Source organism: Homo sapiens, chromosome X (assembly GCF_000001405.40).
Source record: "Homo sapiens chromosome X, GRCh38.p14 Primary Assembly".
Classification (NCBI taxonomy): domain Eukaryota; kingdom Metazoa; phylum Chordata; class Mammalia; order Primates; family Hominidae; genus Homo; species Homo sapiens.
In genome coordinates this window covers 133,890,555-133,907,000 of record NC_000023.11, presented here as the reverse complement: position 1 = coordinate 133,907,000, position 16,446 = coordinate 133,890,555, and the positions used below count along the sequence as shown (strand labels likewise).

At 41.1% G+C, this 16,446-nt stretch overlaps 1 protein-coding gene and 1 non-coding gene across 6 annotated transcripts in view; one reads left to right on the top strand and one right to left on the bottom strand.

The window, feature by feature from the left end:
* The window catches only part of GPC3 (glypican 3), a 449,850-nt gene that overhangs the window by 78,594 nt on the left and 354,810 nt on the right, over positions 1–16,446 (top strand). The gene's annotated exons all lie outside the window — the stretch shown is intronic.
* GPC3-AS1 (GPC3 antisense RNA 1) lies at positions 9,080–9,558 on the bottom strand. Its single transcript, NR_148713.1, has one exon.

Here is a 16,446-nt window from a genome sequence, read left to right as displayed (position 1 = left end):
GCCTCCCGAGTAGCTGGGACTACAGGCGCCCGCCACCACGCCCAGCTAATTTTTTTGTATTTTTAGTAGAGATGGGGTTTCACCGTTTGTTAGCCAGGATGGTCTCGTGTTAGCCAGGATGGTCTCGATCTCCTGACCTGGTGATCTGCCCGCCTCGGCCTCCCAAAGTGCTGGGATTACAGGCGTGAGCCACCGTGCCCGGCCAACTTTTAAAAATAAAAAAGTAATCATACCAGATTCTAGAGAGCCAGGCACCTTTTGCAGACGGAAATGAAAACGTGCCTTGCAGGTAGCAGGCACTTAATACAGTTTTGAATGGCTAGCTCCTAGAGGTGAGTAGGGAAGAATGAGAGCTTGACTGTAAATGGATACAACTGAGTGGCTGTATGTATACTGGAAGAATCTGGAAATCAGGTGTTACCTTATTACATCAAATCTGTTTTAATGGATATTTATATATTGCTCAGATATATCAAAGTTCTAGCTGTCAGACCTCTGTTGACTGTGAAAATGCATCTATTACAAGTAATTTGCACTAACCTGTGACTCTGGACATTTAATCGAGTTCAATTTACCTCTTTTATCAAAATTACAAGTTGCCTTTTTAATATCTATATTTTAATTTAATACACAGTTTACCTCCTACATGTAGAAGGCATGTTCACAGGCACATTTGATGCAAACTTAATTTCTTATGTTTTGAAGTCAATTTTGGGCTGCATATTAATGCAGCCTATCCTCCCTTCTTTCCCTAATAATGGCAGAGATATCTTGATTCTTGTCACTTGCATTTTTTTTCTTCTTTACCACTTAGAAAAAGAACACTGCAGACTTTAGGAAATAGAATGGTTTTGAGTTTTGTCCGTGATGTTGTGGGTATCAGCATTCTAGTAGGGGTACAGCCAGAATAGATCTGGTTTCATTAAGAATGTGTGGAGACAATCTAGGTTTGAAGAAAGTAGAGTTTTTATACATGTTCACGTTGCATGTCCCTGGTCTTTGTGAGTTGCAGTTCTGCTTAGCATGTAGATCTATCTCTATGAAATTAATTTTCTCCTCTGTTTTCATGTTTATGACATATTAAGGTTATTGCAGACAGTACTATTAAGAGGATGAATTTAATAAGAACGATTTCTGTTTCTTACCTACTTTTTGCCTTTTTTCTCTCCTTGTCCACCCTCCATTTTGTTTTAAATATATTCATTCATCTTTTCTTGTATCACCTTGTTTCTGTCTCAACAGGAAGCAAACCATTCTTCAGAACTGGTCAAATCCTTTTTTTTTTAACCCCAAATCCCCACTAAATGAAAAGTTTCATACGGTATTAGATTGACATTTCTACAAAGCCAAAGAAAGGAGAATCTCTGGGAACAGATTTGACATCCATTTTCTTTTAAGATGTCTTAGACTAGTGTTCTGCAGATTCAGTTGACTGAGAGATTTTTCCACATGATAACCTGAAGGTGTGATCTCCCGGGGATGGGTATTCTTAAACGGGGGATCTGGACAACTTGAAAGAAAGCTGTGAACTTCAAAGCTCCTTACACCTCCACCACAGTTAACTTTATAGTGTCACTGCTCTGGCAAATGTTAATAGCTTGATCATTTGCCTGCAGATAACTCCATTGGAAACTGTAGAGTATTTCAGTGGGGAATAGCCAGTAGGTCTTTGATCTCCATATAGATAGAGATAGAATAATTCAGAAAGAATTCTTTTGGAGTGATTTATGGCAGAGGCAGCACAATTTTATGAATGTTTCCCTCCAGTATGTCCAAAATATCTTGGCAAATATCAGTACAAGATGTACTCTTTCCATGGTTTCAACTTCTCTTATGAAATGGGGTTCTTGATTATATGGTTTTCCAACCGCTCTTTTTTCTTTAATACAATGGTTTTAAGAATAAGTACTGACAGTTAAACATGTAAACTGTTGGTGCTTGGTGAGGGGAGACTTACTTTGAAAAGAGCAGATGGTACCCCGTGGGGTGGAGACGATGTGGTAAATTTGCTTTCTTTGCTGTGTCCATAAGGTCATGTACAAATGGCCAGAAAGCAAATGAAGGTACCCTTGAAGCCGTTTGCACTTAGATGTCAACTTTCTTTCAGGAAAGACTATTTTTCTTTATTTTTGCTTTTATATAGATCTAGGCCTCAATGTTGTTTGTTGGTTTCTCTTTTTTATTGCTACTTATTTAGTGCTGCCTCATCAATGACTTAGGTTTCTCTTTGAAGTGGCTGAGTACCACCTCTATAGTTCAGTTTCTTAAGGACTCCAGTGATAAACTAGACTTGAACCAGTAACCTAGTCAGCATATTTTTCCTAAATGCCTCCTGCCTTCTCATCAACATTTTAATCTGTGAGAGGACACATGCTAGAATTACTATTGACGGGGATGTATTTTCTCCTAAGTGGCTTTGTTGGTTTTGGGAATCTTTCCTCTCTCTCTGGGTAGCTAAAGACTACCCATCTTCACAGCTAAGTCCTACCTCCTCCTCTCCATTTCAAACTGGCCTCAGTCCCATTTCTGACCTCTCAGAGCACTAACTGCCAGCCTGATAATAGTTTTAGCACTCCATTTCATTATTCCTTGGTTCTTTCTGGTGTTTTCCTTTTTACTTCCCAATTTGTTTGCGGGGCTCTGAGGGAGAGACCTTGTTTCACAGAATTATTCCTTTATTAACATGAGGTATATGGTCCAGTGACCCACTTTGTTGTCACACAGTTTGTGACCAGAGGAAGAAATGATGTAAGAAACACAGGGCTCCCAGATTTCAAAGAAAAAAAATGATGAGAGAGTGAACGGGTTGGCACTAAGCTCTCTCATTACGTATGAACTAAAATCATGTCAGATATATCAGAAAACATCAACTGGATATTGATGAGAATGTTAATGTACACTGAGTTATTTGAAACACTTCAGCTATCCTTCTACACTGTCCTCTAGATTGTATTGAGGATCTGTACCTCGGTACTGGCACGGCTGTTGCTCAGGGCTCAGCAACTACCTGGATGAAGCTCTTGTGGCCCCATTGCTACCCTGAGCCAGGGTACCTGTGGGCCAGGTATTTGGCGACTTTCCTGCTCCTCCAATCACAGTCTTGTGTGCCTTTGCCTGTCTCCTCAGCTATTTCTGCTCAGTACATCTCGGTCAGGGTCGATCAGAAACCAGACCCAGATTTAGGTCAGTAAGGGAGAGGAAGACTGAGTGCCATAAAGGCAAGCAAGAAAGGGGAGGAGTGGGAATGATACAAGTCAGCTCCCACTTGGCTCCTAACAGTATTCCCCTTTCCTTCTCTGCCAGTGGCTTGCTGCAAAGGAAATACAAGTCTCTGTTCAGTCAAAGAGATGTACATAAAAATGTATTTATTTATTTATATTTTATTTGTTTGTTTGTTTGTTTGTTTGTTTTCAGACAGAGTTTCGCTCTTGTCGCCCAGGCTGGAGTGCAGTGGCACGGTCTTGGCTGACTGCCACTTCCGCCTCCCGGGTTCAAGCAATTCTCCTACCTCAGCCTCCCAAGTAGCTGGGACTACAGGTGCACGCCACTGCGCCTGGCTAATTTTTGCATTTTTTTTAGTAGAGACGGGGTCTCACCATGTTGGCCAGACTGATCTCGAACTCCTAGCCTCAGGTGATCCAGGCACCTTGGCCTCCCAAATTGCTGGGATTACAGGCATGAGCCACCATGCCCGGCCATAAAAACATATTTATAAGGGGGTTAACTGCAGCATTGTTTATGCAGTAAGAGCAAACAATTGGAAAACAGTCTAAATGTCTGAACATAGGGGAATGGTTATGTAGAGGACACTATGATAAAGCCATTAAAATGGGTGATTTTTTTTTTTTTTGAGACAGAGTCTCACTCTATTGCCCAGGCTGGAGTGCAGTGGCACAATCTCAGCTCACTGCAATCTCTGTCTCCCAGGTTCAAGCGATTCTCCTGCCAGGCTGGTCTTGAACTCCTGACCTCAAGTGATCTGCCCGCCTCGGCCTCCCAAAGTGCTGGGATTGCAGGCATGGGCTACCGCACCCGGCCTAAAATGGTGTTTTTAAAGACTTTTAATGACAGTGGAAAATATTCACAAAATAATACATGGGAAGAAGCAAAACATCAGGCAATATAACTAATCTCAGAACTGACTATAGTATACAGATAGAAAATGCTATAAGGAAATATACTAGAATATTAATGGAGATTGTTTTTGTGTGGTAGAATCATGGATAGTTTCTTTTTTGTTTTACATATCCTAAAATTTCTTTTTTTCTTTTTCTTTTTGAGACAGGATCTTGCTCTGTCACCCAGGTTGGGTTGCAGTGGTGCAATCTTGGCTCACTGTAACCTCTGCCTCCTGGGTTCAAGTGATTCTCGTGCCTTAGCCTCCCAAGTAGCTGGGATTACAGGTGTGCACCACCACGCCTGGCTAGTTTTTGTATTTTTAGTAGAGACGAGGTTTCACCGTGTTGGCCAGGCTAGTGTCAAAATCCTGGCCTCAAGTGATTCCCTCGCCTTGGCCTCCCAAAGTTCTGGAATTATAGGTGCACCTCCTAAAATTTCTGTAATGCAGACTTATGATTTTTATAATCAGAAAAATGAGAAGAAAATGTTCTTTGCCATAATCTTCAACCTCCAACCCAAGACATCTCACATGCCTAGATGTAGATAATTATTTTTTCTGAGAACAAAAGTAATATATTTGAATTATTAAAACTTTTTAAAAACATACAAAAATATGAAGGAAAAATAGCAGTGAATTGTCTTAAAGTGTCCTTCTTTAAATAAAACTGATTTCTTTTTCAGAAAAGCTTATTTGAAGTATCACTGTACTTTCTGTTACCTAATAAAATAGCAAAGGCTCAAATATTTGGTTAATTCAAAATATTTTAAAGCAGATTCTTTTATTTAGATGGCATCTTCATCCATGATTTTTAGAAATGGAAAGGACATTGTATATCATCTGGCCCAACCCCTGGGTAAAGTTCAAGAGTAGGTTTTGACAGTATTCTATGTCAGGCACAGTTCTAACGTCCCTGAGACTCAGCGAGTCTAAGTGACCTGCTTCAGGTCACACAGCCAGCTCTAGAAATTGGGAGATAGTACTTTGCTCCATCAGTTGTAATTCCAACGGGGAAAAACGTTTTTGACATTCTGCAGATGGTAGCATTCTTAAAAACACATACCTCAAACCTCTTTTCTGAAATAAGAAATTACCTTTTCCCCCCTCTTCAGGTGTATAACTTTAACTCAAAAATATCCAGAGATTGCCAGGCGCAGTGGCTCATGCCTGTAATCCCAGCAACTTGGGAGGCCGAGGCGGGCAGATCGCGAGGTCAAGAGATTGAGACCATCCTGGCCAACATGGTGAAACCCCATCTCTACTAAAAATACAAAAATTTACTGGGTGTGGTGGTGCGGGCCTGTAGTCCCAGCTACTCGGGAGGCTAAGGCAGGAGAATCGCTTGAACCCGGGAGGTGGAGGTTGCAGTGAGCCGAGACCGTGCCACTGCACTGCAGCCTGGTGTCAGAGCGAGATTCTGTCTCAAAAATAAAATAAAATAAAAAATGAAATAATAATAATAATAAAATCCAGAGACAAGTTAAAAAGAAATATGTGTATGTGTATATGTATGTGATATGAAATGAGCAAAGTTTTCACTTCCATGAAAAAAGGTACTTGTGTTTGAGAATGTTTTCAAATTAAAGAAAAAGTTTAATATTAAGTAAATATTTGGTATAAAAATTCACCTAGGTTAATGTCTTTTAAGCTTTTTTGGTCTACCCTCTTGCAAAGAAATAGTATTATTTGATTTACAATTAACTTCTGAATCAAATGTTAACATTTCATATGCCATTAAATACATCTATTATAGAAATGGTTCTTTTGATGAATTTTTATAGTGGCATGCTGTCGTATTAACCAGAAATACAACATTATTTTTATTATATCTGCTTCAGAAACAGAAGTGGTTAGTTTGATTCAAACAGAAATTCCTGGAAAACCCATGTGGTTTTCTTTATGAGCAATTTAAGGACACGTTCTTCCAAAGAGAGAGATGGACAATATAAAACATAATCCACTTTTAAAAATAAATTCTACTCTGTGAAAAAGTTCCCCCTGAGTGGTGCTCAGTAAACCCTTTGGTATCAGTAGTTTGTCAGCTCTAGCACAATTGGAGCTTGTGTGGGAAGCCATTTCACTCAGTGGTGGTTGCTCTGCCACCACCAAGAAGCCAGAGAACATGGGCTGTAACTGAGGAGAAGGATAACCATGAGAGAAGTAATAAGCAGACCTTAGAAAATCTTTGAAATGGTCCTAGGTAAGATCTCTTATCCTGGAATCAGATTCCCCTTCCTCCTTATCATTTTGTTGGAGGAACATTTGAGAAAGAAATGGATTTTCAGTTGACTAGGAAAATGTAAATTGATAAAAAAAAAAAGTTAAAGAAGATGAACCCTTGTATTGCTGTGTTGTTTAATCCTCAGATCTTCCACATGGAGTAAGAAATAAGTACCTGGTATTTCCTCAGGGACCATAGCTATTCAGTCTGGATGAGCTCTGACTCTTAAGAAAAAGTGTGTAGAGTTGCTGCTATGTTCTTGCTACCACCACTTGATGGTACTTCTTTATTGAAAACCCATCTGTTTTCTCATGGACTTTTTGCACAAGGCCCTCTATGTGCCAGGCAATCAATAAATATTTGATTGATTGTTATCTTCTAAATGCAAATTCAACATTTAACATTCAAATATTGAAGTTTCCCTGTGCCAAAAAACAAAGGGATCTCTGCTAGGGGGTTGCCTACTTGAATACTTTGGGCCTGCTCCTATAGGCCAGTTGGCCTGTGTTGTGTTCTCCTTCTGCGCTTTAGTTTAAGTTGAATTTAAAAACCATTAGACCGGCCGGGCGCGGTGGCTCATGCCTGTAATCCCAGCACTTTGGGAGGCTGAGGCGGGTGGATCACCTGAGCTCAGAAGTTTGAGACCAACCTGACCAACATGGTGAAACCCTGTCTCTACTAAAAAGACAAAAATTAGCCAGGCGTGGTGGCGGGCGCCTGTAATCCTAGCTACTCAGGAGGCTGACGCAAGAGAATTGCTTGAACCCAGGAGGTGGAGGTTGCAGTGAGCCGAGATCATGCCACTGCACTCTAGCCTGGGTGACAGAGTGAGACTCTTGTCTCAAAAAACAAACAAATTAATTAATTAATTAAATGAAAATAAAAACCATTAGACCATTGGTCAAATCACTTACAACCACCTAGAGATTCAGAATTTTCCAATAGCTGGTGGGAAACTTGGAATCCTGGAATTCAGTTAAACTGTTTATTGAGCATTCCTTGAGCTGTAGACTTCTGGGTTGGGTAGTGGTGGAGTGTGGGAGGCAGAGTTTACATACAATAATGATTCAGACTTAGTCCCTGTTCTCTGGGATCTTACAGTCTAGTAGAATGGGATTCATTGAAGAAGACTGATGATACGCAGTTTGAGGAAGAGACGCTTTGACCACCAGAAGAAATATGTACTGGAATTGGTTGGTAATAGCTGTGAATGTCAGGATCCTGTGGTGCTGGAACAAGGTAGATGTGTGAGTGGAGGGAGTAACAACAAATGATGTAGCAATAAATGAAAGGAGATGTCCGGAGGAAGGTAGATGTGGCCTCAGAGAAGCAGGGCTCTGTTCTGTAGTATGTGCCAATGTTGATCAGGGATATCATGATGTAAATATACACCCAGCTCTGTGTCCTACACCATATGAGACTGATGTTCCTTATAATGAACCAGAGCCATTAAATGGTTTATGTTTCATATACGGTACTTCATTTACAGAGACAAACAAATGTAAGAAATATCCATACGGCAATGTGTAAGTATTTTAAAAGTTACTTTTTATCCAGAAGATCTCAATCTGCAAATACTTAACAAGGTCAGGCATCATGGGAGATATTTAAAAAACATGTGTGTGCCTTTGAGCCGTTTACTAAGTTGAGACCAAACATATACAAATGGGAAGTTGACTCTCAGTACCAGGCAGTACAGGCCAACTGCTTATAGACAGTAACTGCTGTGGACTTCAGGGATGGCCAGCTTCCTAGGATCTTAGGTAGTCCGGAAATCTTTTCAGGTTCTTGAGCTGGCCTAAGCAGGATTTAGGTGGGCTCAACATAATGCCAGATCTGCAGAAACATTGTCTTTTGCCCTTTGGGAAGTTGCAGTGTGTGACCTGCTCTCATAAACTCCTCCCCAAAACAGGCTTATGCACTTAGCAGTAATAGATTGAACCATCAACTCCTTAAAGCACACCTGGTTGATAATTAGCTCAATCACATTGTGTTTCGGTCATTACCCTTGGATTTCCCAAGGATGAGTTTAATTCATCTCCCACATTAAAGTGAGTGCCTGCATGACCAAAACTCAACAGAATAGAATTTCTGTCTCTATTATGTCAATTTAATGCTGTGGTAATTTTATTGCAAAATAGGTATCGGTTTACAATTTGCCACCCAAATATCTGCACAGAAATTGTTACTGTATGCTGTAAAAAGATCTTTGATGGCAAAAGGCTCCCGTTTTTCCTAAACAGTACTTCATCTGAAGGAAGACAGAGGGAATGAGCTGAAACTCTGATTTGAGGAATTTGGGGTTGATAAGATCTAATATTGCTTATTCAGAGATGACTTACTCTGGTTTTATAGCTTATAAACGTATTGATGATAGATACAACCCCTTGATTCCAAGATTTTACAGAGTTTATTTTGTGTTTTAACCACACTCCCTTTGCCTCTGACCTACTGCTGGATGTGAAGGGATAAACTGGTGGTGCATATGCTATATTACCAAAGTGGGAAGGGAGAGAGGCACCTTTATTATATCGGATTACTGCCAGATGCCTAGAATGCTCAAATCTACTCACTGGTTGCTGTTTAAAAGGGAAAAATACAAATCTAACCACTTCTAGGAATGGTGCCAGATGTCTGTACTAAGGCAACCCAACTCCAGAAGGCTATAAAAATAGCCCCCAAGTAGTAGGTTCTGATTTCCCACTGAGCTGACCAATAAATCCAACAACCAGTTAATTAAAAATGCTGGGAGGGAATGTTCATCCTCCATTACCCACCTGTCCTTGTGAATACTCATCGGTTACAAATGGGAGGGTACCACTTAGTGTTTCAATGTCTGGATTAGGAAACTCTGTCCTTCTTTTTCCACAGCAACCCGGAGATATATATGGCCTTGGTGGGTTGCCTGATACCCCTACTTGGGTGTCAAGGTTTATTTGAGGCTAAAGTGATTTGAGGCTTCCAAAGAAGTTATTTTACTTGCCTAGGGGCTTCCTGGCACCATCCACGTGAGCATGTTTGGAGAGACTACCTCATCTCTCCCTTTTTCAGGCTTTGAGTTTTATTAGTCTGCTGAAATCTGATAGAAAAGAAAACACCTTGCTGCCCTGACTGCTGCTATAGGCAGAATAGCACGGTATCCTTATATACAAGGGGGTTGCTTGAAGTTGGATCTTTTATTCCTTTTAACAAGAAATTTCAACTTGATTAAACTAAAAAAAAAAAAATCAGTTTGTGATGCAAGCAAAAACGTGGATAGAATACACCATCAGTATCATCCTCATTGTTAAAATCATTAAAAGGTGCACAAAGAGGCTGGGCTTGGTGGCTCATGCCTATAATTCCAGCACTTTGTGAGGCCAAAGTGGGTGGATGGCTTGTGTCCAGGAGTTCAAGACCAGCCTGGGCAACATAGTGAGACCCTGTCTCTATTTAAAAAAAAAAAAAAAAAAAAAAAGGCCGGGCACGGTAGCTCACGCCTGTAATCCCAGCACTTTAGGAGGCCAAGGTGGGCGGATCATGAGGTCCGGAGATCGAGACCATCCTGGCTAACACGGTGAAACCCTGTCTCTACTAAAAATACAAAAAATTAGCTGGGCGTGGTTGTGGGCGCCTGTAGTCCCAGCTACTTGGGAGGCTGAGGCAGGAGAATGGCGTGAACCCGGGAGGTGGAGCTTGCAGTGAGCTGAGATCACGCCACTGCACTCCAGCCTGGGCGACAGAGCGAGACTCCATCTCAAAAAAAAAAAAAAAAAAGGTCACAGAGTAGTAGAGAGAGTATTGGAGTTGGAGTGAAAAGTTCTGGGTTTGAATCCTGTAGGTACTAGGTGTTCTCTATGAACAGAGCTCCAGCAGCTCATCTGGAAAACAGCTGTAATAGCACCTACCTCAGGGAGTTGTTGTCAAGAACAAATGAGATCATTTGTGTGGAAATGCCTGACATTTAGTAGATATTAAGTAAATATTGAGTCTGATTTAATTTACGGACTTAATATCCTTTGTTGCCTTAGATAGATACAGAAAGCATTCATGTAAAGAGAGCTCAAAGGAGGAAAAAGTGGTGATGGTGGGCAAGGGAGGCCCAAATTCACTGAGTACAAATTTGACTACCAGGAACCTACTTTCCGAAGATACCATTACTAATGAATTATATTTCTCTTGATGCTTTTGCCAACTTTTGAAAAAGAACTTAGAGACATTTTGATGGAGAACAAAGAAAAGAGATGGAACTTGAGTTTTAGTTGGGTCTGCCACCTACAATGGATGTTTCCTTTCTTTTTCTTTCTTTTTTTTTTTTTTTCTGAGACAATCTCTCACTCTGTTGCCTAGGCTGGAGTGCAATGGCACGATCTTGGCTCCCTGCAACCTCCACCTCCCAGGTTCAAGCAATTCTCCTGCTTCAGCCTCCCAAGTAGCTGGGATTACAGGCGTGTGCCGCCATGCCTGGCTAATTTTTTCTATTTTTAGTAGACGGGGTTTCACCATGTTGGCCAGCCTGGTCTCGAACTCCTGATCTCAGGTGATGTACCTGCCTTGGCCTCCCAAAATGCTGGGATTACAGGAGTGAGCCACCACACCCAGCCTTGACATTTTCTTTCTAGGGCTGTTTCCTCTATCCAATAAAAGTTGGACTGGAGAAGCACTGTGATTCTTTGCCAACACCCTAAATTCATGGGGACAGTTGGATTTTGAGTATGTATTAATTGGGAATGAAAGTTTTTATATAGAGTGAAAAGTTTGGGGAGAGGCCGCTGAGTCCAAGGGTGGAGAAGCTTAGCAAGGACAGAAATTTTTCTTGCCTGCGAGGGAACTCTCTTCGGTAATCAGAAGGCCTTCAGTAATCATGATTGATTGGGGTGGATATATAGATTGCTTTTATTCATGCTTTTGAGATGTGTGTGTGCCTGTGTCTATGTGTGTGTGTGCGCTGTTTAAAGACTTTTCTAAAGCTGAAGCTCTTATGTGATTCGCTGTGCATTAGCAGGATATGAATTATTAATTCTGCTTATACTTGATAATGAAGGCCACAAACTGGGACCCTGTTATCTGAGGGCCTAATGCATTCCTTTTTCTTCATCAAAATAGGTTTGTAAATTGTCATCAGGGCCCTGCTACCAGCCCACTAAATAACTCCTCTATCTGCTGCTACCTATGATTTCTTTAATAAGGAATGGCAGGGATACTCAGAATCGCATTCTATGAGGAAACGTTGATGGAACCGAATCTCTTTAACTTGGGACGGGGGGTGGAGATTCAGGGTACCTTGGTGGCTGTTATCAAAAACATGAAGGACTCTCAAGTCAAAGTAACAATAAACTAATTTTGGTGGCTTTAGGGTGGGAGGAGGCAGACTTGGATCAGTAGAGGAGAGATAAAGGAAGACATCTCTTTCTCAATCCAGGCAATAACTTTCCAACAACGTAAGCTGCCCAAAGAGAGAATAGGCTACTCCAAGGAAGTAGTGAAATTCTCATCATCAGTCCCCATTCACAGTTGTAGCTGGAGTGAAAAATTAGTCTATTTGAGTAGAATCTGGACTCACTTTCCTGGAATAGACCTATAGGGATTCAGTGGTCTGGTGATTCCTTCACTATACTATGAACACTTCTAGCAAACTGTATCTTATTTGTATCCTTAACACTTAGCATACAGCTTGATCATAGTAGGATCTCAGAAAATGTTTGTTGATGGACCAATTAGCTAAAAATGCACTTGAAAGTAAACAAATAGATGCTTTTGGTCCCAGGATCAATTGTATTAAATTGGCTTCCATGTAACTACAGTGTCTCACTTTTTCTTCATGTGTTTCTTTTTTCTTATTTTGAGGCAGAGTCTTGCTCTGTGGCCCAGGCTGGAGTGCTGTGGCACGATCTCAGTTCACTGCAACCTCCGCCTCCTGGGTTCAAGCAATTCTCCTGCCTCAGCCTCCCGAGTAGCTGGGATTACAGGCACGCACCGCGATGCCCGGCTAATTTTTGTATTTTTAGTAGAGACGGGGTTTCACCATGTTGGCCAGGCTGGTCTCGAACTCCTGACCTCAAGTGATCTGCCTGCCTTGGCCTCCCAAAGTACTAGGACCACAGGCGTGAGCCACCGTGCCCGGCCTCTTCAGGTGTTTCTGTGCATTTTCAGTCACACCAAACTGCTCATTAACAGCGACCTTGTCATTGTTAGAGAACTTAAACCATTCTGTTACCAAAAGACCCTTCCATATTAATATATAGAGATAAAACATGATTTTAATATTGGATAAGCATTATCAGAGTTATATGCATGTGAAGTAGTACAAAAACAACTACAAAATCTGGAAATAATTTCACACACATTCATACAAAAAAAGTAGAAGAGAGAACAATTTAAAACTTCTCATTTTCTTGAGATACAAGAGGATGCACATTGTGCCTGTCTCACTTATACCTTAGGAGAGATCCCTGAGCAAATTCTAGAAGTATTTGCATTTCCAAGGGTCAGAGGCACATGAACTTGCATTGTAAAATCAAAAGGTCAAGACTTTTAATCAGGCTGGGCACAGTGGCTCACTCCTGTAATCCCAGGACTTTGGTAGGCCGAGGTGGGCACACCACTTGAGTTCAGGAGTTCGAGACCAGCCTGGCCAACATGGTGAAACCCTGTCTCTACTAAAAATACAAAAATAAGCCAGGCTTGATGGCGGGCGCCTGTAATCCCAGCTACTTGGGAGGCTGAAGCACTTGAACCCGGGAGGCAGAGGTCTCAGTGAGCCGAGATCGTACCACTGCACTCCAGTCTGGGTGACAGAGTGAGATCCTGTCTCAAAAAACAAAACAAAGCAAAACAAAACAAAAAACAAACAAAAAACCCACTTTTGATCAGGCATATTATGTTATGGAGACATCCTAAAGAAGGGAGGGTGAGTAGGCAGGGACTTCCCTCCCCATCAAAAATTTCATCATTGCACACTTACATCGTCTGACATGATTAGACGGTGTGTGTCCTTCACAGGATCCTCAAGCTTCCTGAGGGTTAGTTCGTTTGTGCAGTGAAACATCTTCCCTGTAAGAATGCTACTACCTAGGAGCTGGAAACCTGCATATCATCACTTTATTGGTTGACTCTACCATTATTATTTTTTTAAATGAAACACTTTGAATGTGGCCTTATTAAAAACAGAATTAAATATTAGTAAATCATAAATATAATTATGTAAGTTAAATTCTAACGATAATAAAGAATAAATAAAAGACAAAAATTAAAAAATAAAAAATAAAAATAGAGTGAAGATGCTGTCAAAGGATGAAATAGGCTAAATCTAATGGGAAAATTGAATCTCTTTCCCCAAATACCTCACAGCGCAATGGCTTTAGAAACCATTGAGAAATGACAGACACTTCAACAATATAACCTTACTGAGAGCTTTCTCTTTTTTGAAACGGAGTTTTGCTCTTGTTGCCCAGGCTGGAGTGCAATGGTGCGACCTCGGCTCACTGCAACCTCTGCCTCCTGGGTTCAAGTGATTCTCCTGTCTCAGCCTCCTAAGTAGCCAGGATTACAGGTGCCCGCCACTACGTCTGGCTAATATTTGGTATTTTTAGTAGAGACAGGGTTTCACCATGTTGGCCAGGCTGGTCTTGAACTCCTGACCTCAGATGATCCGCCCGCCTTGGCCTCCCAAAGTTCTGGGATTACAGACATGAGCCACTGTGCCCAGCCCGACTGAGAGCTTAAAAAGGTGCGATGACTCTCCGAAAGACTGAGACTCAGAGATATTTGGATATCTAATAAAGTAATTCAAGATGCATATAAATCTCTGGTTTCTTCTAATTAGTGTCTTATGATTGTGGCTTTTACTTAACCTAACCTGCACCCTGATTGCAAAGGTTTTCCTGACTAGCCGGTTGTGTGGACACTGCCTGTTCACCTTCCTTTAGTCCTCTCCAAGGTATGTAAAGTTCCTCACAGGAACTTCCGAAGTATATCTACCCCCCTTCCAGCTTGACCTTCTTTCCCTTTTGGTGTGGAGTGACTTGAGGGTGTCACCATAGGAATACTGTTTTAGAGCCACCCTGATCACTATTTAGTTAAAAAAAAACAAAAAACAAAAAAGTCCAAGCATCCTGTTTGGACAGGTTGTAAGCTGTGACATTAGACCTTCCTGGTATGCAGAATGGCTTTCATCACTCTCCCACCCCATTCAGCAAGGTTAAAGGTCTCAGGAAGGTATTTGACTTGTGGCTGTAACTTGCCCTGACTGCTGAGCAATGATGGGTCTTTTCCTTGAACCACTTAGGAGGTGCCCACGGGAGCAGCATACCAGAAAGGAGTAGTGAAGGAGCAAAACTGAGCTCATTACAGCATTTGAAACGAAGAGGTCACCAAGAGGAAAGTAGAATGTACAATGAAGGGTTTGTCGATAGTTTTGGTTTTTTGAAAGCTCTGCTCCAGAAGTAAAATGGTTTTCATGGTGTTTTATTCAAAGACAGCAGAAGGAAGTTGGAAAAAAATGTAACATGTCTTAGATGAGAAGACCCTCAGAGGCAAGGACTACATCTGATGCAGCTCTTAAGAAGGGCTTTGGGCACAGAGACACTGGGCTAGGAAATACTCTGCATGCATTTGTTTATCTAACACGGAGTTTCTATGTTTCAGGCACTTGTAATTATACAATCTCATTTAATTCTCATAACAACCTGGTGAGGTGGGGGCCCATTTTCCAGATGAAGAATCTAAAGTACCTAATCTTCAAAGTTCTCACACAGATTCGCTACTTAGAGGAAGATCTTTAAAATTAATTTAAAAATTAATTTTAGTTACTTTAAAAATAATTTTTTTACTTCAAAAGCTTAAAATTTTTAGCATGCCTCAGAATTTTTTTTTTTTTTTTTTTGAGACAAGGTCTTAGCTCTGTCGCCCAGGCTGGAGTGTCGTGGCATGATCACAGCTCACTGCAGCCTCCACCTCCTGAACTTAAGCAATCTTTCCCCCTTAGCCTCCCAAGCAGCTAGAACTGCAGGCATGCACGACTGTGCCTATTATTATTATAATAATTATTTATTTATTTATTTATTTATTTTTACTTTTTGTAGAAACAGGGTCTCTCTAAGTTGCCCCGGCTGGTCTTGAACTCCTGGCTCAGGCAGTCCTTCTGCCTTGGCCTTCCAAAGTGTTGGGATTATAGATGTAAGCTCCCATGCCTGGCCCAGAATTTTTAAAATGACAACTTTATTGAGATATAATTCACATACTATAAAATTCACCCTTTTAAAATGTACATACTATTCAGTGTTGTTAGGATAGTCACAAAATTTTGTAGCTATCACCACAGTCAGTTTTGGGATATTTTTATCACCTCAAAAAGAAACTATACACTTTAGCTAATCACCCTCATATCTCCCCATCTCCTTCACCCCTAGCCCTGAGCAACCATTTATCAACTTGCGGTCTCTATATATTTCTGTATTCTAGACATCTCATCTAAATGGAATCATACAATATGGGGGCCTTTTGTGTCTAGCTTCTTTTACTTAGCATAATGTTTTCAAGCTGCCTCCATGTTTTAGCATGTATCAGAACTTCATTCCTTTTTATGGCTATATAATATTCCATTGTATGGATACCTGTATATACATTTTATTTATTTTTCTTTATTTTTTTTTAAGAGACAGTGTCCCTCTATGTCACCCAGCCTGGACTGCAGTGGTGCCATCATGGCTCACTGTAACCTTGAGCTCTTGGGTTCAAGTGATCCTCCCATCTCAGCCTCCCAAGTGGCTGGAATTACACGTACCAGTAACCATACCCAACTAATTTTTTTTTTTTTTTTTTTGAGATGGAGTTTCGCTCTTGTTGTCCAGGCTGGAGTGCAGTGGGATGATCTCGGCTCACTGCCACCTCTGCCTCCTGGGTTCAAGCAGTTCTCCTACCTCAGCCTCCTGAGTAGCTAGGACTATAGGTGTGTGCCACTCCACCCAGTTAATTTTTTTGTATTTTTAGTAGTGACAGGGTGTCACCATTTTGGGCAGTCTGGTCTCGAACTCCTGATCTCAGATGATCCACCCGCGTCGGCCTCTCAAAGTGCTAGGATTACAGGCATGAGCCACCGCACCCGACCTTTTTTTTATTTTTATTTTTG